This window comes from Homo sapiens, chromosome 18 (assembly GCF_000001405.40).
Source record: "Homo sapiens chromosome 18, GRCh38.p14 Primary Assembly".
Taxonomy (NCBI): Eukaryota; Metazoa; Chordata; class Mammalia; order Primates; family Hominidae; genus Homo; species Homo sapiens.
In genome coordinates, this window is record NC_000018.10 from 46,475,448 (window position 1) to 46,501,145 (window position 25,698).

The 25,698-nt window shown below is 45.5% G+C and overlaps 1 protein-coding gene across 18 annotated transcripts in view, besides 1 other annotated feature; it reads right to left on the reverse strand.

The window, feature by feature from the left end:
* The window catches only part of LOXHD1 (lipoxygenase homology PLAT domains 1), a 180,260-nt gene continuing 156,075 nt past the window's right edge, over positions 1,514-25,698 (reverse strand). For 12 of the 18 annotated variants that reach the window (NM_144612.7, NM_001384474.1, XM_047437289.1 and 9 more), the window contains 4 exons: positions 13,525-13,695; positions 9,572-9,704; positions 8,140-8,298; positions 1,826-2,505 (listed from right to left, as the gene is read on the reverse strand). In NM_144612.7, the coding sequence (NP_653213.6) occupies positions 2,025-2,505; positions 8,140-8,298; positions 9,572-9,704; positions 13,525-13,695 (944 nt within the window). In that variant the 3' untranslated portion in view covers positions 1,826-2,024. The other 6 variants (NM_001308013.2, NM_001173129.2, NM_001145472.3 and 3 more) reach the window with 5 other exon arrangements.
* Positions 21,766-21,966: a silencer, noted in NCBI's record as "peak3132 fragment used in MPRA reporter construct". NCBI's record gives its function as "represses an SCP1 promoter by STARR-seq MPRAs in K562 erythroleukemia cells {active_cell/tissue: K562}" and the evidence as "EXISTENCE:reporter gene assay evidence [ECO:0000049][PMID:32103011]".

Here is a 25,698-nt window from a genome sequence, read left to right on the forward strand (position 1 = left end):
CACATGCCTTCACACACCCAGATACACTTGCATGCACACACACCACACCCACACTTGTGTACACACATGCACACATATTCGCATGCACGCACACACACCTGCACACACACTGATGTGTGCGCACACACATGCTCTCACACATCTTCACATGCATACATTCACCCTACACACACCCACACTCATGTACACACACATGCCCAGTGATTCACATACAGGCACACACCACATATATACTAATGTGTACACCCACACATTCAAACACACACTATACCTTATACCTGCACACTACATAATACACTCACTGCACACACACTCACACCCCTCCCTCACTGTGGGCCCACCTGTGACGGGACTGAGCCAGGAGATGGCAGGAAGCTTAATTTTAAGTTTGATGTTTTAATCTTTACTTTGGGGCTGGACATTTAAATTATAGAATGGAGATGGATTTCATGACTTAAAGTGTTTGTTGGACTTTTTATTACCTACTGGAGTCCACAGGAGTTGTGAGGCTTGTCTAAATTTTCATCTAGGGACAGGGGAAGAACCAGTTCCACAGAAGGAGATGGAAACAAAGCTGTTTAATGATGCCATCTTCCCCTCCCCATCCCCCAAGTCCTGCGTGTTCAGCATGGTGGATATACTCACTATCTGGTGTAGGCACTGAATTTAAACTACATACACATGAACTCATTTAGTCCTCATCATAACCTACAAGGTGGGCATTGTGATCATTCCCCCTGTGTTACAGATAAGGAAACTGAGGCCCAGAGAGAGAAAATAATGTGCCCAAGTTCTCACAGTTGCAAAGAGGCAGAACGGGGATTTAAACCCAGGCTGGTTGCCCCCAGAGCCTGTGCATTTAACCTCTCTCTGAGAGATCTCTGAGAGGGGCCTGAACTTGCCTCAGGGTCCTGAAGCCTCACTGCGAGTTTAGACCTTTCTGGGACAGAGGGTGCAGGGACAGCAAAGTGGCAGAAACACTGGTCCTGGGGTGCCCTCCTGTAGGGATATTTTCCAGCCCGACCCACCTTGTTGCTGTCCTTTTCTCTACAGGAAAATCAGAAGTTAGGTGCTGAGCTCTGCGAAGTCTTGCTGTGACTTTGTGACTGCCGATCAGGGAGAGTGTGTGTGCATGTGTGAATCTGTGTGGGTACTCAAATGTACAGTTCTCCTGCTGCCTCTCCATCAAGGTCACATTCCCCTTGAGGGTAAAGACCAGGTCTTCACTTTGTTCCCAAGCCCCTCTCAGCTCTCAGTCCAAACCTTGCCCACAGAGAGCCACAGGTGATAATCACCAAATAACCTCAATGACCCTGCTTTCTCTCCCGGCCTTAGAGTGCCAGTGACCAGGCTGTTGCAGGTGCCATCCCTATCACCTTTGTGTCCAGTCCTGACTGTGTTAGCACAGGCTGGGATAACCAGCAGGCACTTGCCAATGCGTTCTCTGTAAAGTGATGGAAAGAATTATCTACTTTTCACAGGCTCATAAATCCCCCGGCAAAACACTTCTTCCTGAGGTTTTTCTCCACTTGCCACTGGGTTTATTGAAACTGGGGAAAAGTATACACTTCTTAGCAAGCAGATGCTAAGATGAGTTCTTTATAGGATATGGTTGGTAATAATTTAATTAGCCTAGCTTTTTTGGGGAAAAGTGTTAATTAGTTTTTGCTTAAAATACACCATCTTGATGGCCTCTGCTTCTCCACTTCTATCCCCTGGGTGAAGACTCAATTTCTCATCCACACTCTGCAGCAAGTCCCAGCCTGGTCACTACTGTTATTACAGAAAAAGGAAATACAAAAAATTATTTTTGGGCAGCCACAGATTATGACACATGCTAATTATTATCACTGTAGGTTCAATAAACTGGGGGTAGGGTGGGGAGCAGGACCCCATGAAGTTCTCAGTGGACTGCTAGCCCCCAGTGCCAATGCTAGAGGCTTTGAAGGGCTGCTGACCGCCAAGGTGGAGGGCAGAAATGTGAGATTGGGGCATCTCAGTGAGAGGGTGGGGGCCCTAGCCCCTCAGACAGAAGGGAAGAGGTCTCTCCAGGTGAGTCCATCCCCCCGCTTCTTGTCCAGCCACCTGCCACAGTTGAAGATGGTGGCCACGCCGGTGCTGGTGTTGGTGACCTCCACCTTCTCCACCAGCCAGCCTGAGCAGTAGCCACTGCTGTCGTGCTCCAGGCGCACCTTGCGCAGCTCACCCAGCTCCAGCGTCTCCAGGAAGAAGCGGTCTGTGCTGCCCCGCTCGAAGAGGTTGCGCATTTTCTGCTTCAGCTCCCGCTTGCCTGTGTCTCCGTTGGCCCCAAAGATGGTCACGAAGACGTTGGCATCAGTGCCTGCCCCTGGCTCATAGCCTGTTGTCACGATGACTTCGTACTTGACGGGCACCAGGCTCTGGACCTTGCTGGCAAAGCTCTCTGTCGTCTTGGTAACCTCGAATACCTTGAAGTACTTCCTCTTCCTCTTGAGGGGGATGAGGCAGTCACAGTTAAAGAAGTACCTGGCAGAGAGGTGGGAGAGTGGAGGGGTAGGGGCTAAGCAGACCCCAGCCGAGGCTGCTCCCTCCCCCAGATCCCCTTGCTCATCTATAAATGATCCCTTCCCAAGGTGATGGGATATTGGAGCTGGAAATGTTGGTTTAAATGTGCGTATGGATTCTTGTTTAACTTCAAATTCACCATGGACGGGCATCTCCATTCTTCCAGTTGCTTCTTGATTCTTCTACTTCTTTTTTGCCCCTCATACTCCATGTCCAATCCATAAGCAAATCCTGTTGACTTTATTTTTTTTTTCTCACCATCTTGGCCAGGCTGGTCTGGAACTCCTGACCTCATGATTCACCTGCCTCAGGCTCCCAAAGTGCTGGGATTACAGGCGTGAGCCACTGCGCCTGGCCGACCCTATTTTTAAGATATATCCAGAACCAGCCCACTTGAAAACTGTCTAGTATCTATCTGCCCTCCTGCTACTTGGGTCCAAGTCACCATCATCTCCTATTTGGAAATTATCAAGAGCCTCCTAACTGGTCTTCTAGCTTTTTGCTACCTGTGGTCAATTCTCTATGAAGCAGCCATGTGATCCTATTGAGAGGTAAGCCCAAGTATGTCCTTCCCCTGCTCAGAACCCTCCAGTGGCTTCCCATGTCAAGTAAAAGCCAAAGACTTTACAACGGTCTGCAAAACTCCTCATGATCTGACTCTCCTCTTCCTGTGTTTTCCTTTATTCATTTTTATGTATTTTTAATTTTTATTTTCTTTAGAGACAGGGTATCAATTTGCTACCCAGGTTGGACTGCAATGGCGCGATCATAGCTCACTATAACCTCGAACTCCTGGGCTCAAGTCATCCTCCTGCCTCAGCCTCCTGAGAAGCTGGAACTATGAGCATGCACTATCATGTCCAGCTAATTTAAAAAAATATATTTTTGTAGAGATAGGGTCTCACCATGCTTCCCAGGCTAATCTTAAATTTCTGGCCTCAAGCAATTCTCCTGCGCTGGCCTCCCAAAGCACTAGGATTACAGGTGTGAGTCACTGCACACAGCTGTGCTTTCCTTTCTCACCTGTCACCTGCTCTTTTCCAAGCTCACTCCCATCTGCAGATACTCTTGCTCCCTTAAAGGGACTGGTTAATTTTTGTACCTGGTGTTGTCACCTTTAGAGGGAGTTGCTGAATCCAGAGTGACAATTTTAGGCAAAACCAAGTGGAAATATGACTATTAAATGTACGCTCCCAGATCCCTTACACTTGGCTGAGTTGAACAAAGAGTTTGTATATATATGTATGTGTGTGTGTGTGTGTGTGTGTGTGTGTGTTCATGGACTGCAGAGTACAAAGGGAAAGAGAAAGTCCTCTATCGAAGAAGCCATCACAAGCAGAAGCAAGTCTAGAGCCAAGAGAATGGTCTTGGACCAAGAAGTCCTCCCAAACCTTCTCTTGCACATCCCCAATTTTAGCCTCTGGGTAATGACAGTGGGTTCAGGAATTATAAAGGAAAAAGCCAGACAGCATGGTGGGAAAATGCTGCACAGGATGTGAGAGGGCATGGTCTGCCCCAGCCCTGCCACCTACCATCTGTGTGACCTTGGACAAGTCACATATCCTACCCAGATCTTGATTTTCCCATTGGCGAAGCTGGAGGTTTGGACTGAACAATTGCTATGGTTTCTTCCCACTCCAAATTGCTAATATGCTAACACCTTTGAAAACAAGCTGTCTTGGTGCTGGCTAACAACTTCAGGAATGCAACACTGAAAAGGTGTGCCCAATGGTGCAAAATCAAACCCTATTTTAGATGAACATTCTTAACAGAAAAAAAAAAAAACAAAAAAAAAAACACCTTTGGTTTTTTGCCTGCTTACACAACTCCAGGACTTTGCATTCTTGAATCTCATTAGCTCCCACAACAACCCTGGGCATCATCCTCCCATTTCATAGGAGGAGGAACTGAGACTTGAAGAAGAAAAGTCAGCGCTTAAGGTGACCCAGAGCCAGAGCCTGCCTGGCCCTGAAGAATAAGCCATTTAAAGACATTTGCAGGAAATCCTTATTCTGTTTTGAGATCCTTCTTCCCCCAATTTATCACTTGATAAATTTGGATTGTTGTTACATACTACAATTTCTTAGAGGAGGAGATACTTGCATTGTTTTAAAATTCTCTTAAAATGTATTTCTTTATGCATATGCCCACTAATATGCATCATTCTATATAAATACAAAAATCATCTGATCATATACATACTTTTCTAAACGTACTTTTTTTTGCTCCCTCTTTGCTTGGCTCTCTTTCTTTCTCCTTCTCACTTCAGCATCGCTTCTCCTCAGATAACCCATGTAACAGTTGAGGGTGTAGCCTGCCAAATTTCCCTCCATTTCACCCAACCCTGCACAGACCCACGTGTACATAGACATATGGGGATGTCAGTGTTCCCTTTACAAAACGGCATCACATAAGACATGTTTTCCTGTGTCTCGCTTTTCTCACTCAATAATACTTCCTGGGAATTGCTCCAAGTCATCTGGTATGTATTTAATTCATTATTTTTGATGGCTGAAAAATATTCCCTGGTGTAGATATAAGGAAATGTTTTCTGATAGACATAATTATAGGATCACCAAAATGTGGGCCCTGCAGACTTACACAAAGCTCTGGCTTTGGAAGGACACTCAGCGGGCTGCTCCTGCTAGAAAGGGGGGAAGGTGTCCAGCCAGAGTAAAGGCAAAAGCAGAGAAAAATGAGCAGAAAAAAGTGATACATATTCAAAACTATGTATAAGCACACATCTGTGAACATTGTGTATTAGAAAAATCCCAGAGAGAATGGGGTCACCAAAATGCTCATCATGGTGGCCACCTCTGATGGGCAGGGCTGTAGGGAATTTTTACTTTCTTTTACATACGTTTCTGTATTTGAATTTTTATGGTTGTGTATTAGATATGCTACCGGGATAAACAATAAAGGTGTTTTCAGTTAAAAAATAAGGTCTTTTTGTATGACCTTTCACCCAAATCCTGAGGCTATTAGTGATGAATGAGAACTGGTCAGGAAGGTCAACAGCACACTGCAAAAGAGGGATCAGAATGGAAATAGCTGTGAGATGGACATTTGGAGTTATTGTGTGTATGAGATATTGAGATTAAATTCATTTGTAATTCATGTAACTCCAAATATGGCTAACATGGTGGCAGGAAAGGAATTGTGGATGTTACACACAGTGTTAAGCAAGTGGTTTTATAATGCAGAATGTAGGTTCCTTCTAGAATGAGGCCATGTGAATTGTCACCACGATTAAACATGCCTGCAAAGTCCCCCTTCTGGACGAAGGTGGTATTTCTGCAGGCGACAGGTTTTCATCCAGCAGAGACCACTGAGAACTGCAGGCGACAGGTTTTCATCCAGCAGAGAATAAGGCTTGAGAATTGCAGGTGACAGGTTTTCATCCAGCAGAGACCACAGGCTTGAGAACTGCAGGCAGGCAGGGGTGAGCTAGGGCATGACTTCAGAGAGCTCCTAGGCTGACACCCCTGCCATCGTCCCTCTACCCTAGACCCTATAGAGCATCCAGCTCTCCTCCCAAAGGGCAGCGTGAAGCACAAGGAGTTGATGGGTAACTGCTGGAGGCCACACAGTTGACCAGGTGACAGCGCTAGTATCCAGAGGCCTGGACCCCCTGCAACCCCTTCACTTCAGGAAGAGCCCCTTCCTCACAGATATCTCTTCCTCCCCGCTCCAGCCCTGGTGACAACAAAAGACAGGCTGCATTCCTGAGGCTGGAGGGAAAGATGCTTCAATTAAGAGCGGCTTTTTCTTCTGCAGGATGGAAAATTCTACAACTGAGGCCCAGGACTGTGGGGCAGGAAGCTTACAGCTGGGCCTTTGCCTTCCTTTCCTCCTAAGACAGGAAGGTGCCAGGTGGTGCTGAGAACTCTCTCTCGGCCAACATTGTGGGTTTAAGGGTAATGTGAGGGTGACTATTTTATTTTGTTTTGTTTATTTTGGGAGGTTTGCAGATGAGCAGTATCAGCAGACACAGTCCTTGTGGATGGGAGGTAGTACTGAGCCATGGAAAGGGCTTAGGCCTGGCCCTGACTTGCTCAGTGAGTCATTCACTTTTCTGGGATAGTCTCCCAGCTGTCAAGTTCTCATCAGTACTGGTCCTAGCAGCCACATAGAGCAACTCCTACAGGATTGATTGTACTTGAGCTGGGCTTTCTCTAAAAGAGCAGCAAATAATGCCATAGCTCAAGAGGGAAGTTGCTATGAACAGAGTTGTATCTCCCCAAATTTATACATTGAAGCTGGAACCCCCAATGCCATGGTATTTGGAGATGGGGGACTTCAAGAGATAATTAGGTTTAGATAAGGTCATGAGGGTGGGGCCCTTATGATGGAATTAGTGCCCTTACACAAAGAGGAAGAGAAACCAGAGCTCTCTCTCTCTGCCACGTGAGGACACAGAGAGAAGGCGGCCATGTGCAGGACAGAAAGAGAGTGCTCCCAGAACTCCACCATGCTAGAACCCTGATCTCAGACTTCCAGCCTCCAAAGCTGTGAGAAATAGCTTTCTGTTGTTTAAGCCACCCACTCTCTGATATTTTGTTATGGCAGTCTGAGCAGAGGTCAGAACCTCTTCTGCCAAATTCCCAAGGAGTTGCTTGGTCTGGGGGAGCCAAATCCAGGGAGCTGCAGGTTGGACAAGTGTGGCTTTGAGAAGCTTGGCCTCCTGAGGGCCAGAGCCCATAGCCGAGGGCTCTGCCTAGGTCCAGCCTGGCTGCCGCTTCTGTGCAGACAAGGGCTACCTTTCCTTGTGCAGGGAAGGCTCTAGGGTGTGGTATGAGCAGGGCCAGCCCCAGGGAGAGGTGCAGATGTGGGAGCGTCCACAGTGGTTCTGGCCCTGTGAGCTATGTACTCAGCTTTCACTTACCCTTTGGCAAGCCTTGATCTTGGATTCCCCTTTCCACCCTCCCCTGGCTCCTTCTCAGCACCTTTCCTGCCTTCCAGAGCCTCAGGGCTCTTCCTGGCTTCCAGCTTGGTTACCAAGGGGTTTTAATTAGACAAATTGATGACTGTGACTATGTTGCCCAGGTAACTAAGACCCTTAATCTTCCAGAAATGTCTGAGTCTCCAGAAGGCTCTGATGAGAGAATGCAAAGCCCCTTATCTGGGGTACTGTGAGGCAGATGGACCATTGGATTACCCTAGCTTGTCTCTGGTCCCTACTCTGCCCACATGGATGGTGGGTTTTCACTATGACCGTGTAAACAGCAGGCTTCATAACTGTGTTTCTTTGTCATTTTAGATTGAGGGAAGGGGAAGGCAAGGAAAGTCTCTGCTCTCTGGCACTGTTTGACTTTCTCAGTATCCTTCCAAGGAAGCATCCCTGGATCCAAAGACTAGATGCACCCCAGGTCATCTGGCCTACTCCCCTGCCTCTGATAGTAGATGCACAATCCAGATAGCTTCAGAAGCATACAGCTGTCTCTTCCCTTCCTGCCTTCTAGGCCTCCTGAACAGGGTAATCTTGACCTTGAAGAAGAGACCTCATCATACCCTGCTCTCTTGCCCATGGTCCAGCTCAGTCCCTGCCCCATGCTGAGGGAGTGGCACTTCCTTGGGGAGAGGCTCAGTACATACACATTGCCGTACTCCATCTCGGTGATGGTGATGGTCTTGACATGCCAGGCAAGTTCTCTCTTGGGGATAAACCGGTCTTCCCTGGCAAGGTGGCCCACACAGAGGGAGGCAATGTCCCCCAAGTAGATGCTGTCAAACTCAAACGTGTCTGTGGTCCCCCTGCAGGAAACAAAAGTGTGGTCCATGAGCTGCCTTTGCCCACTGAAGCAGGTAAGCATTTGTCGGGGGCCTGCTGCATTCCAAGCAGTGGGCCAGGGAACAGGGATGGGATGGCAAGCAGGAGCTCATGGCAGTCCTGGAGGCTTTGAGGGGTTCAGTTCAGTTTGGGACCAAGACAATCACGATGAAAAAGCCCCACTAGCTGCCTGGCCTCAGCACCAAAGAATGGTGACATCGTTATGCAGGATGGAGATGGGGAGGGTGGTGAGACTTGGAGAGCAGAGGGAGGAGGGGAAGGGAAGAGTCCCCTGTAACAGACATGTCTTAGCAAAGTCATAGGTGGGAACAGTGGGGTGTGGAGGTGCAGATATTTCTGGGGGAATGCTGGCTTGGGTGAAGTTTGGGTTCAGGGAGGGAAAAGCTAATGGAGAAGGTATGGGTGCAGGCAGCCTGTGGGGGTAAGTGCCAGTCTAAGGTGTCCAGACTTCATCCTGAGGTAGAGATTTGAAGAAAAGGTTGTTATAAATGGAATGTCTGTGCCCCAGTTCCCCCAAATTTATATGTTGAAACCTATTCTCCAGTGTGATGGTATTTGGAGGTAGGGTCTTTGAGAGGTGATGGGGTCATGAGAGCTGAGCCCTCATGAATGAGATTCATGCCTTTATAAAAGGGGCCCTGGAGAGCTCCCTCCGCCTTCTGCCATGTGAGGACACAGTGAGAAGATGGCTATGAACCAGGAGGCAGGCCCTCACCAGACACCAGATTTGCTGGTGCCTTGGTCCTGGACTCCCAGCCTCTAGAACTGTGAGAAATACATTTCTGTTGTTTCTAAGCTACCAGTCTGAGGTATTCTGTTATAGCAGTCAGAATGGACTAAGAGAAAGATGTAGCAGAGTTAAGGGGGAGGTGGAGGCTGTCTCAGCAGTCCTGGAGAGAGTGAGGAGATGAAGTGGGCATCCGAACAGTTCAGAGGTGGCTCTGATGGAAGGAGGTGTGGTCCTTGTCTACGTAGATGTGGGGCAATGTTTGGACTGAGTAGCACTGTCCATCCACAGGGTGGGCTCCCATTAAATGCAGTCCCATGCTTTCCCTTTCACCATTGCCTGTTTAGCCCCTGGGTGCTTGCACAGGATTGGCACACAGTAGGTGCTCAGTAAGTACTTGCTGGTTAGGCCCATTTGTGTACCTATGGCTCCCACCCAAGAGGGAGATTCTCGGGGTCCTCCCTTACCTACCCACCCCCCACCACTTCCCATGGGCCTCCCCTTCCTACTTCCTAAAGGCCCGCTGCCTAGAAGAATTTTCCATGAGAAACTCTTTGGATCGGTTCTTCCTGCCCTCCAGGATGAGCCAGACGTTCTCCCTGGTTTCGCCTCCGTTGCCCGTTTCTATGACGATCTCGTAGGCTGTAATGGAGGAGGTGGGGGAGGGTCAGCACAGGGGAAGCAGTGCCCGTCTTCAGGGCGGGAGCAAGAGGGTCACGGCCTCCGGTCCTTCATTTGATCTTAGGCTGCAGCCTGGGGGTGGGGGAGGCAGGTTAAAAGCACCACGATTGAGGCGTTGTAGGTAGAATCTGCCCGGATTCTGGGGCTACAGCGAATGCTCTCATTTTATTTATAGTAGCAACCTCTTTGTAGGCAAATATGGGAGCCACTGGGAATGCAGCAGGAGGTGGGGCTGAACATTCAGCTACAGGGGTGAGATGCAAAATGGAGATTGGTGCTGAGAAGGGACAAGAAGTGGGGCCCAGTGCAAAAGCAAAGGGGAAAGACCCAGGCAGGCAAAGCCACCCCAAAGACCCTTGCACTTGCTCCAGCAAGCAGTCTCACTTGCATCTTGTCTTGGTGTCACTCCATCTCACCCTGCTATTCACTCAATCGTGTCTGCACAGGTGTGCACTCCTCCAACACTGGTTAAGTAGGTGCCAAGTGCCAGGACTGGACTAGACCCTGGGTGACACTAGAACTCAATCTCTAGCCCCAGACACAAACATGGACTGTACCATATGACAGAATGTGATAGATAACCCTGCAAAAAAGAGCCAAAGTACCGTGGGGTAAGAGGAAAACCTGGCTCCCCATTTCCTCTCCCACCTTGTGTCCTGGTACTTTCTCTCTTTCTCACTCCAGCCACTCTGCCTCCTAGCTGCACCCAGAGCACTTAGGTGTGCTCCTCCCTAGAGCTCTGCAATGCTGTCCTTCTGCCTGGAGTCCTTCCCTCTTTCCCTCTCCCTCCCCCACCCATAGTGGCGTGGCTCACTGACTCACCTCCTTCTCATCCTTACTCAAAAGTCATGTCTCAGAGATGTCTATCCAACCACCCTAATTAAAATTGCTACCTGATCCCCCTAAGCCAAGATACTGAGAGAGTGTGACATGTGATCCAGGCTCACTCCCCAGGGACCAGACCAGGGATGGAACCAGCACCCTGGAGGACACAGTAAGTGTCTGGCTCAAGTGTCCCCAGACATAGACCCCTTGCTGCAGTACCTGGATGACTGACGGTCTGGGATTCTGGATCCAAAGGGGTAGCTCTGTTTCTGTGCCTTTATCTCAGAGACATGATAAAAATAATGAAGATGAGAGACGGCCATACCTGTGGCTCAATGTAGCACCACTCCCAGCCCCTCAGCCACCCTTTTGCCTCTGTAACTTTTCTCAAGGAGAAATCTCTGCTACCTGAAACAAGTAGAGTGAATCTAGGCAAAGAGACAGGCAGCCTCTGATAGAGGAAGAGATCCACAGAAAGTGCATCCTTCTGCAGTAGGGAGGGGTTCTGCAGCCCAGGGCAGATTCCAGCCCAGAGACCCAAAGCCATCCCAGCAAGGGAAGTTGTACCATTGCCTTCTGCTTTCCCATGGGAGGTGATGGTCTATTCTGCAAACAGGTACTGGTGAATTCAAAGAGGGATCCTGGGTGTGGTTAGGGAAATGGTTTGTCAGAATCAGTGAGGGAGGCACGGAGCACTGGGAACCTGCATATCACCGTGATGGACTCAAGTAGGAGGTGTGAGAGATGATGCGGGTGGGGTTTCCTACATGGATTGAAATGAATTCTTTCCTAGTGGTCCTAAGGATAAGGTAGAGAAGCAAGGTTTGTAAGCAAGGACATTTAGGTAGATTAGAAACACATGTTGCTAGTCACATCTGTGGTCTTTTGAGAGGAAGTTTCAATCAGCATATTTTCACCTTGCTTACTTTCCCACACGAAGCGGCTTGATAAAAATGTAGAAGGCATGATTCCCAACTTTGTTCACAGGTTGCTGGGAAGGAACAGATGAAAGAGGATCAGGAACTTGAATATTCAGGGCAGGTAAACGTGATGAGCCCCATCTAACAGATCTCCCGTGGGGCCAGCACACCCAAGGACAAGCCCTACTAGAGGAAGGCTCTCAGTAGTCACGCAAAGGAAGAAGCACATGGAAGTCACTAGCATAAAGGGGCCACCAGCAAAGCTACTGTGGGCTTAGGAGGCATGGGTCGTAGTTTGAAAGGCAAGACAGGAGAGGAGCGAACAGATCCCCATTGAAATCTTGCCTTCATCCTGGGCATGGCATCTGCAGAGGGCAGCGAATGAGTGATACAGGTTGTACCAAGAGGGAAAGGGGCAGGATGCAGGGAAGATTCCATGTCACATTGTTCAAGGAGCTGCTGCAGAATAAACAGATGTTTAGTCTCGAGACAAGAACTACAGGGGCATGTGACGGCCATGGAGGAATGCTAGGAGCATAGTTGGGCTTCTAGTGGACATTTGGATTTTACTGTCTTACGTTTCAGGCCCACGGTTTACGCTGAGGAGCTCCTACCATGTGGGTTGGATGGAGCTGAGAGTCCTGGGCCTGCCCAATCAGAATCCTCCCCAGAATCCTCCTAGAGGATCTGTGTATGGAACTTAAGCAGGGAGATGCTCTCTTCCCTTCCATGGAAGCTATTAAGCTGAAATGGTGTGGGATTGGAGCTGCGAGCAGCCACCTTCCACAATGGAGAGAGTCTGTACTAAAACAAAGTTGATACATGGGAGGAAACAGAGTTGAGAGGAGAAGAGAGAAAGAGACGTACTGAGACCACGGGAGCCTCTGGAGACAGCCAAGTCTCGGCTAGAGCCACCCAAGACTTCCAAGTTCTGGGAGCCAATATATTCCCTTTTGCTACAGCCAGCTTAGGATTGGGTTTCAGGTACATACAACCAAGAGTCCTGACCACTCCTGAAATTTTCTGTTTGACTCCATTGGGACTACCAAAGGAGGGATGCTTCAATAACATAAATATGAAGATGGATTTTCTAGCTGAACTGTCTGGTGAAGCAAGCAGTGACTGTTCCATCCCTGGGGAGTTGGCCTGCAAGCTGGACTGTATTTTGGCTGGAAGTGTTGCAGGTAAGGCTGACTGGGCAGCCTTAAAAGGCTTCAAGAGTGGGAGCATAGGGAGTGGGAGGGGCTGCAGAGAGGAAGACATTGGCCCTGCCAGAGGATGTCCCAGAGAGAGATACAGACAGAAGGAGCTTGGGTCCCTAAATCACTCCGTGGAAGACCTCCCACCAAACACACATACTGGACTGGGTATTATAGGAGTGAAAAATGTTTTGTTGTGTGAAGACACTGAGATTTAGGGGTTTGCCTCTTACTGAAGCTAGTGCTGCCTTAATAACTAAGATTGGAAAAATCCATTTCTTATGTCACGCTCTGCCTTTGACAAGCCTCTTCCAATCTGTTGGGCCCAGACCCTGGCATCTGTGAGAGGCACATCTCCCTCAGCTTTGATGGCCATCCCCTCAGGATCAATTACTCTTCCCCTTTAAATATCCCCTGAGGAAGGGACAAAAGGAAAGCCGCTGCTAGAGATACTGGCTTCCCCTGCATTCTGTTTCTAGGAAGCGTTGATTAGGCAGCTGTTGCCACAGGCATCAGTTGGATGATGTCCATGTTATAAAAATAAACCAGAGAGAACTCCACACCAAACCACCCAGCTCAGCCTTCAGGTCAGGGTCAGCTTGTCCCCAGTGGGTTTTCCTGCTACCTAATTAGTCCCTGTGATTCTGAGCCATGAGCTGGCATCAGTGTTTCTTAGCAGTTCCAGTTTCACCAAACAGCATTTAGGATGTTTCCTCATGCATATCTCCATATTATTCCCTGTATCTGGCACCTGACCCCCCTCCAGCTGGAACGGTGTCTTCTTATTCCAGCACCATTCCCTGCCTCCCTCCTGAGCCAATGATCTCCCCCACATACTGGTCTCTTCCAGCTCATCACAGATCTTGTTGTTGGCACAGGCAAAGTCGCGGACCGTCTGCCCGTCACCCTCACTCTTGGAGAGCCAGCAGTCACACTGGAAGTGGAAGGTCTCGTCGCGGGAGTTGTCCTTCACATCGACATAGCTCAGATGCCAGCCAGGAAATATCCCTGTGGAAAAGACACCATGGGGGTTGGAAGCTGGATGTGCCTTCCCTCCCCTTTCAGACTTCTACATCCCCACAACCCATTGGCTGTGTGGCCCTGGACAAGTTATCTGTCCTCTTTGGGCCTTGATCTCCTTGTTGATAAAGTGAGGGGTTGGGTTAGGTGGTCTCAGAGGGTTCCTCCAGCACAGAGGATATAATTTTCTGCAAAGCCCTTAACTTTGGGTTCATGAACCCTAGAGGATTTGTGTATGGAACTTAAGCAGTCCATGACCCCAAGAAATTGTGCTGTAATTATACATGAACATTTTACCAGGGAGAGAGCTCATAGCTGTCATTAATTTATAATTGAGATCTCTGACCCAAAATAGAACTTTCTGGAGCTCACCAAGATGAAGGATGACTTCTATCACTTCCTGACACCAGTATTTACTTAGTCCATGCCCATTATCCTTCCAGAATCAGTTCAGGTGTCAGCTCCTCCAAGAAGCCTTCCCTGATGTCCCCTGATCACCTGCTAGGCCTGCATCAGGTGTTCTCCATGCTCCTATAGCCCCCTGCATCTGCCGTGGCCACACACTGTCCACCTTGTGTTGTCAGTATTTACATGTGTCTCATCCTCCAGGCCATGAGCTCTTGAAGGCAGGGAGTAGGTCTTACTTGTTTTCGTTTCTTGCATGCCTAGCATAATGACTGGCAAGTAGCAGTTGCTCAATGAATGCTGAATGAATTAATGTGTCATGACTTGGCTAAGCTGTTCAACAATCATAGAAGAAATCCAAAGCTGCTATTTCTTTTGGGTATGTTGCTAATATTGAACACATAGCTGCCCTTGTTATAATTGGCAGGGCTTCCCTCGGAAGTGTGCCCACCATAGCACAGCTATCAAATATGAATTGATGTGCACTTGCCTGCATGGTGTAAATAGCATGCATGTGACAGCTGCATGCTCTTTATACCATGCACTGGTTGAGTTACTCTCTTCTCTTCAAAGTCCTTGAGAACCCTTACAACCAAAGGACCCCAGGCAGGAGGATATCCCAGTGGTTTGGCAGGTTACTTGCTGCTCATTATATGTCCGCAAGGAAACTCCAAGTGTCTTAAAGCACAAAGAGACACAAAAAGATAGACACACACTTGCAGTCACCCAGATCGCAGGGGACACATGTTAAGGCTCAGCAGGGAATACACATTGGCGGTCCTGGTATAGCATCATTCCAGGTTGAAAAAGTACTTCTTACGTTTTGTAAACACAGGTCTTCACTGAAGTGGAAAACAGCACCAATAGAGTTAAGCTAAATTTTAAAACACTTCTGTTGAGTTAAACAGTGAAGTTACTTATTTATTTATTTATGAGACGGAGTTTCACCCTTGTTGCCCAGGCTGGAGTGCAATGGCATGATCTCGGCTCACCGCAACCTCCGCCTCCCAGGTTCAAGCAATTCTCCTGCCTCAGCCTCCCAAGTAGCTGGGATTACAGGCATGCACCACCACACCTGGCTAATCTTGTATTTTTATTAGGGACAGGGTTTCTCCATGTTGGTCAGGCTGGTCTCGAACTCCCGAACTCAGGTGATCCACCCGCCTCAGCCTCCCAAAGTGCTGGGATTACAGGCGTGAGCCACCTCGCCCGGCGGTAAGTTATTTTAACAATAAATTTGTTTCTTAACTCAATTAATCTTTCAATTTTTCTACATTAGGGCCAATTCCACCTGTAAGTTTGCAAAATGGCTGCTTTCTGAGATGCTTCCTGATAGTGTCATGAAGATGAGACCTTCTGCCTCAAGTGCGACTGCTGGCTGTCGAAGATTGAACTACTTAGCAGCCTCAATGCATTCAGTCTGGAAATGAGGCAGAGGAGACCTGCTGAAGCAGTGCTCAAACACTTCTGAAGTGGAATATAGGAAGGAAGAGACAGGTAAAGAGGAAGGCAGAGAAAAAGGCGACAAGTTGATGATTTTATTGGAAGGTGTCCAGGTGGAAGAGACTTTTTGTCCTCCTCCCACCATTCATCCTCACTGTGTGCATGTGTGTGACAGAAGACACACACACAAACAGATTCTACTATCCAGCTCTTAGAGAGTTTGATTGCTACAGACCTCTGGAGTGGGGCCTAGGCATCATTAGTCATTAAGGCTCTCCAGGTGATCCCAATGTGTAGCCAAGGCTGAGAACCTGGGCCTGTATCACTATCACCTGGAGGGTTTGTTAAACTATAGGTTACTGAGCCCTACTGCCAGAGTTTCTGATTCAGTTTGCGGTGGGGTCCAAGAATGCCCATCTCTAACTAGCTCCCAGGCGAGGTCAACGCTGCTGGTCCTAGAGCGACACCTTGAGAACTACTGATTCAATGTATCAGGACCAGAGTCAGAGAGGTCTTTCTACAGAATCACAGCAATAGGAAATCAATGGGAAGTTTGAACATGTGATTGCATGCGTGAGTGTGAGCATGAGTATGCTAGTGGAGGAGGATGGCATTACCTGGAGACGTGGGCCATCACGAGATTTTTTCTGTTGCTGGAATGCACCATTTATCATGCTCTACCCTACACAGTTTTCACTACACAATTACACTTTCCGGGCTCCAGCCAGAATGGTGACAGAGAAAAACAGTGAGCTAAGGGGAAGGGTGGATTCTGGGATGGCTTTACCTTTATCCACATATAATTCATTGCCCCCACTGCATGGATGAAGACAACCAGAATAGGAGCCTGTCTGGCCTGGGTTGCCCTGGTGCTCAGTGGCAGGTTGCCTCTCTTCCCACTGTGGCCCCCTTTCCCCCGTCCTCTCAAAAATTGGCATTGTCTGACCCCATCCACAATTTTCAAATTAGAATTCCTCAGAGAAACTCCTTCCATGAGCTTTGTGCCTGCTGCTCACTTAATTGCCTTGTTTTGGAAATTTTGGGTGTGATTGACAGGGATCTCACCATGACTTTCTCCCACTAAGAATCTATGAAACATGCAACTATGAAACATCTGGCAGGCTGATGTCATGTGTCTGGATTTTGCTGATGATGACAGCAGGATAGTAGAGAGTAGACAGCAGGATAGTAGACTCACAGGTACAGCATGGCTAACTGAGTGGCCAGCACTAGCTGCATGGTGGATATCCTACTTGGCCTTAGCAGATGTATTAGTTTGTTCTCATGCTGCTGTGAAGAAATACCCAAGACTGGGTAATTTATAAAGAAAAGAGGTTTAATTGACTCACAGTTCTGCATGGCTAGGGAGGCCTCAGGAAACTTACAATTATGGCAGAAGGCAACTCTTCACAAGGTGGCAGGAGAGAGAATGATTGCCAAGTGAAGGGGGAAGCCCCTAATGAAACCATCAGATCTTGTGAGAACTCGCTCACTATCACAAGAACAGCATGGGGGAAACCACACCCGCAATTCAATTATCTCCCCCTGGTCTCGCCTTTGACACTTGGAGATTATTACGATTTAAGGTGAGATTTGGGTGGGGACACAGAGCCAAAGCATATCAGTAGACCAAGAAGGAACCATCTGAAATTGACAAAGAATCCATTGCTTTACAAAGTCTCCTCTTTTAGGGTTCTGCTTTATTTTTTTACACAAAAGTAACAAACACTCTACACTATTGACACCTTTTACTCAGAGACAAACTATATCAAAATATAAATACGGACTCATTCTTTTTCATAGTTGCCTGGTATTTCATTGAATGCACGTATCACCAAATTATTTATCTTGTCCTTGTTGATGGGTAGTTAGTTGGTATCCAGGCTTGTACTTCTACACACAATGCTATAATATCCTTCCAAATGCATCATATTAATCTTTTAAAATGATATATCAGATTTTGTCACTTCTCCATATAAAATCCCCCAATGGCTCCTCATCACTGTCAGAATAAAATGCAAACTGCTCATCAAGGACTATTAGGATTGACATGATCTGGTCCTTTTCCACTCCTCTGATTTTATTTCATACTACTCACAACTTCACTTACTCTGTTCCAACTACACTGGCCTTCTTTTTATCCCTTGATATATGAAGCCCTCTCTTTTCTTAGAAACTTTGCATCTACCATTCTGTCTGTTTGGAACTATATTCCCCAGGTTCTGAATGTCAACACCATCTCATCACTGAGATGTCAGATCAAATATTCTGTCTTTGAGAAAGACTTTGTTAACAACCCTATTTGCAGAAGCTTCCTAATCCCCAATTACTTTCTGTCAATAATGATATGTCCACTTCACAATCTGAAATAAGTTTGTCTTTGTTTTCTCATATATTGTATAGTTTGTCTTCTTCCACTAGGTTGTAAGCCCCTTGAGAACAGGAGCCTTTTGTAACCTATCCACCTCTATATTTCAATGCCTGGGACAGTGCTTGGCATATTATTAAATAAGTGTTTATTGAATGCATTAGTGTGCACCATTATTGAATAGGGAAGAATGGCTCTAATGGTGAAGTTTTAAGAGTGGATGGGAAAAAGAATTCAAAGCCCTAGCAGTGAGTGGTGGCCTGTCCTAGTAGAATTGATTATTTTGTCCCACAGTTTTGAAAGTTTACTTTAAGAAAAAGGCTTAGAAACTGTGCAGTGTGAGGTCTCAATCTTTTCAGGCAAGAGATGACAGTCTCTGGATGGGAGTGAGACTGGCAGCTGCTCCCTAGAGTTTAACATGCCATCTCTGCCTGCGGTTCCCCAGTGGCTTTCCACATCTGATGGGACAAAAGGGCCCAACTCTGTGTTTACATATTTAGGGCCTTCTTCAGCCTGACTCCAATCATCTTATCTCTCACCTCAATAAGGAAGAGCCCTTTTACAAATCCCCTAGCCCAGTGAGATGGATTTAAGCATCCCTTTGGCATTTCCTTTCTCCTCATTATGGCACCCAGCTTTCCCTTGCCTTAAATACCTGCCTATTGTCCTCTGGACAATTTAGACCTCACTTCCTCTGCAATGCCCTCCAAAATCCCCAGGCTCTCAGCGTTTTTTGCTTGTCCATTCTCTTGGCCATGAGCACAGACATCTTGAGAAATCTCTGCTATTCAGGTCATGACTATGCACTAACTTTTGTGGCTGGTTTTATCTGTATGCCTGACGTCTCTAATGAGATTTTAGGGAATGAGAATCATATCTTAGGAGCTCTTAATTGTATCACAGTGGTATAGACTTAGCATTCAATAAACATAGAACTGATCAATGATTTTTACTTTCTAAAGTGAACTGTCAATTCTTTGCTCCAGCACAAACCACTAAAAATTCTTCTCAGGTAGTCAGATAATTTTCTTCACCAAGCAACTCCATTCTTGACAATAATCTTTGGCAAGCTAAGGATTCATCTAGGTAACTCACATTTCTTCAGTAAGATAATAAATGGTTTGAAGTAAGATATGGAACCATCACAGAGCCCTAGCTGTGGATGAATATGAGAATCTAGCTATTATTTTTCCACAAACACTTTTTCACATATGTTATCTAAGAGGCCACCCAGAGCAACACTCTGGGATCTGGCAGATCAGGTTGCAGTCTCAGCATATCCACCAAACTGAACACGTTATATCCCCATGCCTCAGTATCCTCACTTGTACAATGTGTGGATTGAAATAGATGATTTCTGAGGTTCTTTACATTAGGCTGGTTCAAAAGTCACTGTGGTTTTGGCAAAACTGCAATTACTTTTGCACCAACCTAATATTTCTATGATTTATATTTTTCTTTCTCCTTTTTCTCTCTCTCTTTTTTTTTTTTTTTTTTTTTTGAGACAGAGTCTCGCTCTGTCGCCCAGGCTGGAGTGCAGTGGCACGATCTCAGCTCACTGCAAGCTCCGCCTCCCGGGTTCACGCCATTCTCCTGCCTCAGACTCCCGAGTAGCTGGGACTACAGGCGCCCGCCACTGCGCCCGGCTTTTTTTGTTTTGTTTTGTTTTGTATTTTTAGTAGAGACGGGGTTTCACCGTGGTCTCGATCTCCTGACCTCGTGATCCACCAGCCTCGGCCTCCCAAAGTGCTGGGATTACAGGCGTGAGCCACCACGCCCAGCCATGAATTTATATTTTTCAAAAGAAAACACATAAATTCTTTCTTTCCTCAGAGCTTAACTTAACCAAAGAAGGCATGAAGAACAAGATAAATTAGAAAATAAATACTCTGGTTATAATTTGTTCAGTATTATAAAAGCTATCTGGGTAATTGGAATTATGGAGAATTAATCATTTGTCTTGATTTTCCTCTATGAACTATATTTTATGGTAATCAAATAGCCTGAGGGACTTTTTTAACAGAAAAATTCTAGCTACTAAATGAATAAGAAATGAAAGAATTAGAAAATCACCATTTGTAACCTTAATTGATCATCACTGGATGAGTCCATTAGATGAAGAGTTATGAGGAAATTTTACAGTGGAGTAATCAGGCTGGCAGTCCCTGTATCCACTATTCAATGTTAGCACCAATAATAATGGGATTTCTGTGTACTTCATATTACATCAATAAACGGTATTTCCTCAATACATTGTATTCCTCACAGACTTACTCAGTATACAGTACTAAGGAAATTTACATATTTTCCATATATTCCATATACAATATTAAGAAAATTTACATATTACATAGTATTGGGAAAATTCGCCATGGAGTGGAAATTGAACAATACAAATAAATCATTGTTAAGTATGATAGTGGTGGTGTAATTTTGTAAGAAACTGTTCATTTTAAAAAGAGATCAGCCTGACCAACATGGTGAAACCCTGTCTCTACTAAAAATACAAAAATTAGCCAGGTGTGGTGCTGCACACCTGTAATCCCAGCTACTCAGGAGGCTAAGGCAGGAGAATCGCTTGAACCTGGGAGGCGGAGGTTGCAGTGAGCCGAGATGGCGCCGCTGCACTCCAGCCTGGGTGACAGAGTGAAACTCCATCCGTAAATAAATAAATAGGAACACACTATGTTTGGGGTGACATGACATGAAGTTTAGGATTTGATTTTATATCCCCCAGCAACCAAAAAGAAAAAATTTTAAAAGGTATGAACAATACAGCTGGTGTGACAACTTTCAATAGTTCAAATTTGACAGTTCAATAATCAATAACTGATTCAATTGTGAATCACTAATTCATAATTCTTGAACTTGGGTGATTGCTATGTGGAAGTTTATTACACTATTAATCTTCACTTTTGCGCATGTTTAAAATTTTTCACTAAAAAAGAAATATTGAATAGACAAAAATGGTTGAAAGGTAGATTCAGAGGAAGAGAAGATTGCTACACTTTAAGTTAACTAAGCATTTGTCACCTGATTTATATGGTATTTGTTCAGAAATCCCCATCTTTATTGTAGAAGACTCTCAAACAAAATATATTTTTCCTCATACGTGTCTATGCAAGGGAAGCATAAGGTATCTTGAAAAAAAATTAAAATAAACATAAAAAGTGTGGCATAGAGAGAGTCTAAGGACATGTTTAGCCATCTTAGCTTGTATTAACATTTAAACTTCCATCTCTGGAGGAGAAAGTTACCATTAAAAGGAAATTGGACACAAAACCTGGACTTCTGTCTCCCTCCCCTGAACCTAGTATCTCAACCACATGGGCTCAATAAGGATACAGAATGGCCAGTCACAGTGGCTTATGCCTGTAATCCCAGCACTTTGGGAGGCCGAGGCAGGTGGATCCCTTGAGGTCAGGAGTTTGAGTCCAGCCTGGCAAAAATGATGAAACCCCGCCTCTACTACAAATACAAAAATTAGCCGGGTGTGGTGGCACACTCCTGTAATCCCAGCTACTCTGGAGGCTGAGACAGAAGAATCACTTGAACCTGGGAGGCAGAGGTTGCAGTGAGCAGAGATGGCCCCACTGCACTCCAGCCTGGGCAACAGAGTGAGACTCCGTCTCAAAAATGAAATAAAACAAAAAAATAAGGATACAGAAATCTTCCTTTTCTTGATGAGCCTGAAGACCTACCAGTGATATTATCCTGGTTTCAGACCCAATGTCTGTTGAAGGGGTGGAGGGCCACTTCTTTGCCTACAAGGGGAAGAGGATCACATCAATGACTCAGGATTTCTTTAAACCCAAGAGCCATTATGGGTCCAAGGCAATCAGATAGTTTTTGGTTATCCAAAGTGGTGGTGGGGTGGGGTGTCAAGCTCTTTGGAGAGGCTGGCATCTGAACAACAATAGTAGCAACCAGTCACAAGGTTGGAGTGGTTTAGAGCTGTCCACGGTGCTGAACCCGCCTCTTTCAGATTTTGACCGTGAGGAGATGGAAGGAATTGGCTGATTGGAGTCACGTTTTTGCATAGTAGAAAAATGCATCAGGAAAACTAAGAAAGTCTGGATATGTGTGCAATTAGTGTCTTGAGGGTGGGGGCAGCTGGCATTGGAGGACTTAGTCATGAGTCTGAGTTTCATGGCCAGGACTCAACTTTTTAAAAAACCACTAAGGCACAAGGAACACTGATTCTGGGGAAAACTGAGTTCCCTATAACTGAAGCATAAAAAGACAGGGAAGGGTCTGAAAGAGAAGTATAAGTATAATTAAATTTTATAAAAATATATTAAGTCCTTATTATATTATAGGCAATGTGATAGGCATTAGGGAAAGAACATGAACAAGATAATGGTACCTGTGGAGCTAATGCTCAAGTAAAAGAGACAGAATACACATGTAGTTACAAATATGTCGACTGTTCTGGGAGTGGGCTCAAGCAAGGTAGTGCAATAGGAAGAACTTTCAGTGAGGAAGTGAGAACATAAGAGAGCTTCTAAACCACAGACAGGCAGATATAATCATGGCAGGATGCACAGTGGGAGTTAGGTCACAAGGCAGAGGTCACAAGGCCGAGGTCTCAGTGGCTGGAATTAAATGACAATTGCAGAGTGGGATCACAAACTAATCTACAATGCCTTTCAGTTCTAGGTTTCCCCTCTTTTTCATGCCTAGGGGAATAATTGGTTTCTGTGCCCCAAGTTATTATCAAACTAATTTCAGGGCTGTGGAGACCCCAGTTGTAAAAGTTAGGAGCAAGGCCTTTGCTAAACAGATCACTACTTGACACCAACTTTAGTGTTAGGACTCTGGGCCACCCAGCCTTGCTATGCCTTAAGCTCCTGCAGTTAAACCCTGCTGACTCTAGGCTCTCAGATGGGACTGCACTCTGATATGGTGAGATTAATCTTGGTCCAGTGGCCTTGAATATTTTCCACCCAGTAGCAAATCCTGAGGCAGACTGTTTATATTGAGACCCTAGGGAAGTCTTTACTGTTCCCCAGAAGGTTCTTCCCTACTATATTATTTTCCTAGGCCATCAGAAAAATTACCACAAACTTGGTGGCTCAAATAACAGAAATTTATTCTTTTGGAGTTCTGGAGCCCAGAAGTCTGCAGTCAAGGTGTCAGAAGGTCAATTCTGTCTCTGAATGCTCTAGAGAAGAATCCTTCCTTGTGTCTTCCTAGCTTTGGTGGCTTCCAGCAATCCTTGGTGTTCCTCAGCTTGTCACTGCTATCTCCAGCTCCAATCTCTACCTCCATCTTCACATGCTCTTGTTTCAGCATCTTTCCATGTTCTCTCATCTTTTTATAAAGACACAAGTCGTCATTGATTTAGGGCCCATTCTAAATCCATGGTGATCTCATCTCAAGATTCTTAACTAAGTCTAACTGCAAAGATCATATTTCCAAATATTATCACATTCTGAGGTTCTTGGTGAAGAAGAATTTGGTGGGTGGGGAACACTATTTCACCCATGACACCTACCCTTGGATAATTACAAATGCTTTAACAAGTGTGTCTGATATAATTGTTGCATCTAGAAACCCCTCAGTCACCTACAGGGGAGAAAGATATATCTGTGGAAGTCTAGAAAAGGATAGAATTCTGGACCCGTCTATTTAGGATCCAGAAGCTGCTACAAGCTGATGTTCAACATTAATTTACTTATTCATATAATTGTTAAATACCTACTAAGTGCCAGGCATTAGGCATATAAATGTGAATCAAAATTTCCAGTCTTGAGAGACTCAAAAGTCTGCCAATTATGACTGGCAAGACAATTACAGTTCAGTGTTGTGAGTGCTAGATATAGAGGTATGAGCAGAGAAGTTTAGGAGCACAGAGTAGGGAGCATCTAACTTCATTTGGGATAATCAGGGAGCTTCATGGAGAAGGTGATATTAATCTGGATTTTGAAGGATGCATAATAATTTAGCAGGGGAAGGGAATGGCAGGTGCAAAGTTATCTCTTGGGTATCTATGAATGTCTGTTAGCTTGGGCAAAAGATGTAAGTTACTTCATGCAAGGTGAAATTTAAATAAGGGCTGAAATGAAAGTTTAGAGATCTAGGAAAAAAGAAGAGAGAGAATAACAAAGCAAACCTTTTGAATGAAAATAGCTAATCTTAGACCCTAGTTTCTGAAAACTTGAATGTACCATGCCATTCTTTGGATGTGTCAGAATAGTCAGGAATAAAGACAATTCCACATTACAAAAAGGACCAGAGAGCAGAGAGAGTGAGGCTAGGTGAAAAAGATTTCCTGACTTTGTGTGTGGTGTGTGTTTGTGTGTGTGTGGCAGGGGGAGGAAGCAATGAGGAGCATTTTTGTCTAACAAACATAAATCCACAAATTACACAAAGCTGTTCATCTCCCCTTCCTTTCTCCCTATTACATACAGTGGCTTAAATATTTGGCTGTACAACGACATTTTTAAGCAAGGGATTCTAGAAATTTGCTAGGGAGAAATAAACATTTTAAATATTTTGAATTTCTTTGCTGTTTGGAAACAAATGAGGCCTCATGTTTCCTCTATTAAATTTATGTCCGGGAAACTATGGAGTAGGGAATTGACACACCACATCTTGGGATTTCATGGCCAGTGAACAATCTTCAGCATTACAGAGTTTCCCAGATGTAAATTTCCTCCCCAAGCACATCCCACTTTGGAAGTACAAAAGATGGAGGTAATTCCTTCCCCTTCTCTTTTCTTCTTCCCCCTCCTCTTCCTTCTTTTCCATTATCTCACCTCAAATGTTGAAATTCTTGGGAATCTGCTCTACACCGCCCTTGCTATCCTCAAGCTGCACTTTCTCCATAGACTCTGTTATTCACTCTTTATTGATGACTTTACTACTCTCTCTGCACTAACAACTTTTAGTTTACTATCTCAGATCAATCTTCCAACTAGTTTTCCTCCTGAGGTCCAGACCCCACTGTTACTGGACATCACAGATGTCACTCAGGCCTTCAAATTAAACTCATCAAGATGAAGAAAGTTCTCCAGCATCCTCACCATTCTTGTTCAGGTCTTCTCAGGCAAACCTTTAACAAGTCCTTTGCCTTAAATATTTCTCAAATCGGTCTGCTTTTTCTCCATTCCCACTGCCATCATCGTGCTGCAAGACATTCTCCCACCAATTTCTTAATCATCTTTTGAAGTTTATTTTCTTCTCCATGTAACCTACCTCCCACAGACACTACAATGATCTTCTCTGAGTGATTCCCGTTCTTGAGACGCTTTGATGGCTTCTCAGTACACTCAGGATAAAAACCCAATCCTTGACATGGCTTACAATATTATGCATGGCCTGGTTCCTATCTATATTGTAGCTTCCACCCCTATTCCCTATTTTGTAGTCATTCTGGATTTTTCTTTAATTTTGGGAACATATCAAGATTTTTTCCTGTTTTAGGGCTTTTATATTTGCTATTCACTCTACCTCACATGTGTTCCTTCATTTTAAGCGAACACCACACTTCATCTAATAGCTACTCTTATTCATTCCTGAGGTTTCAGCTTAAATATCCCTTCTTCAGGAGGGTTTTCTCTGAGTCCTCGGACTAGCATCCTGTGGACCTCCATTTTAGACACACATCATTATTTAAATTAATTACTTGTTTAATACATGTAGTTTTTGCTAGAAGGGCATCCAGATGACAGGAATCTTGTCTGCTGCTCCCTACTCTGTCCCTAGCACTGAACACAATGCCTAACAGTAAGTACTCAATGGATATATAGTTGATCTTCGTTATTCACATG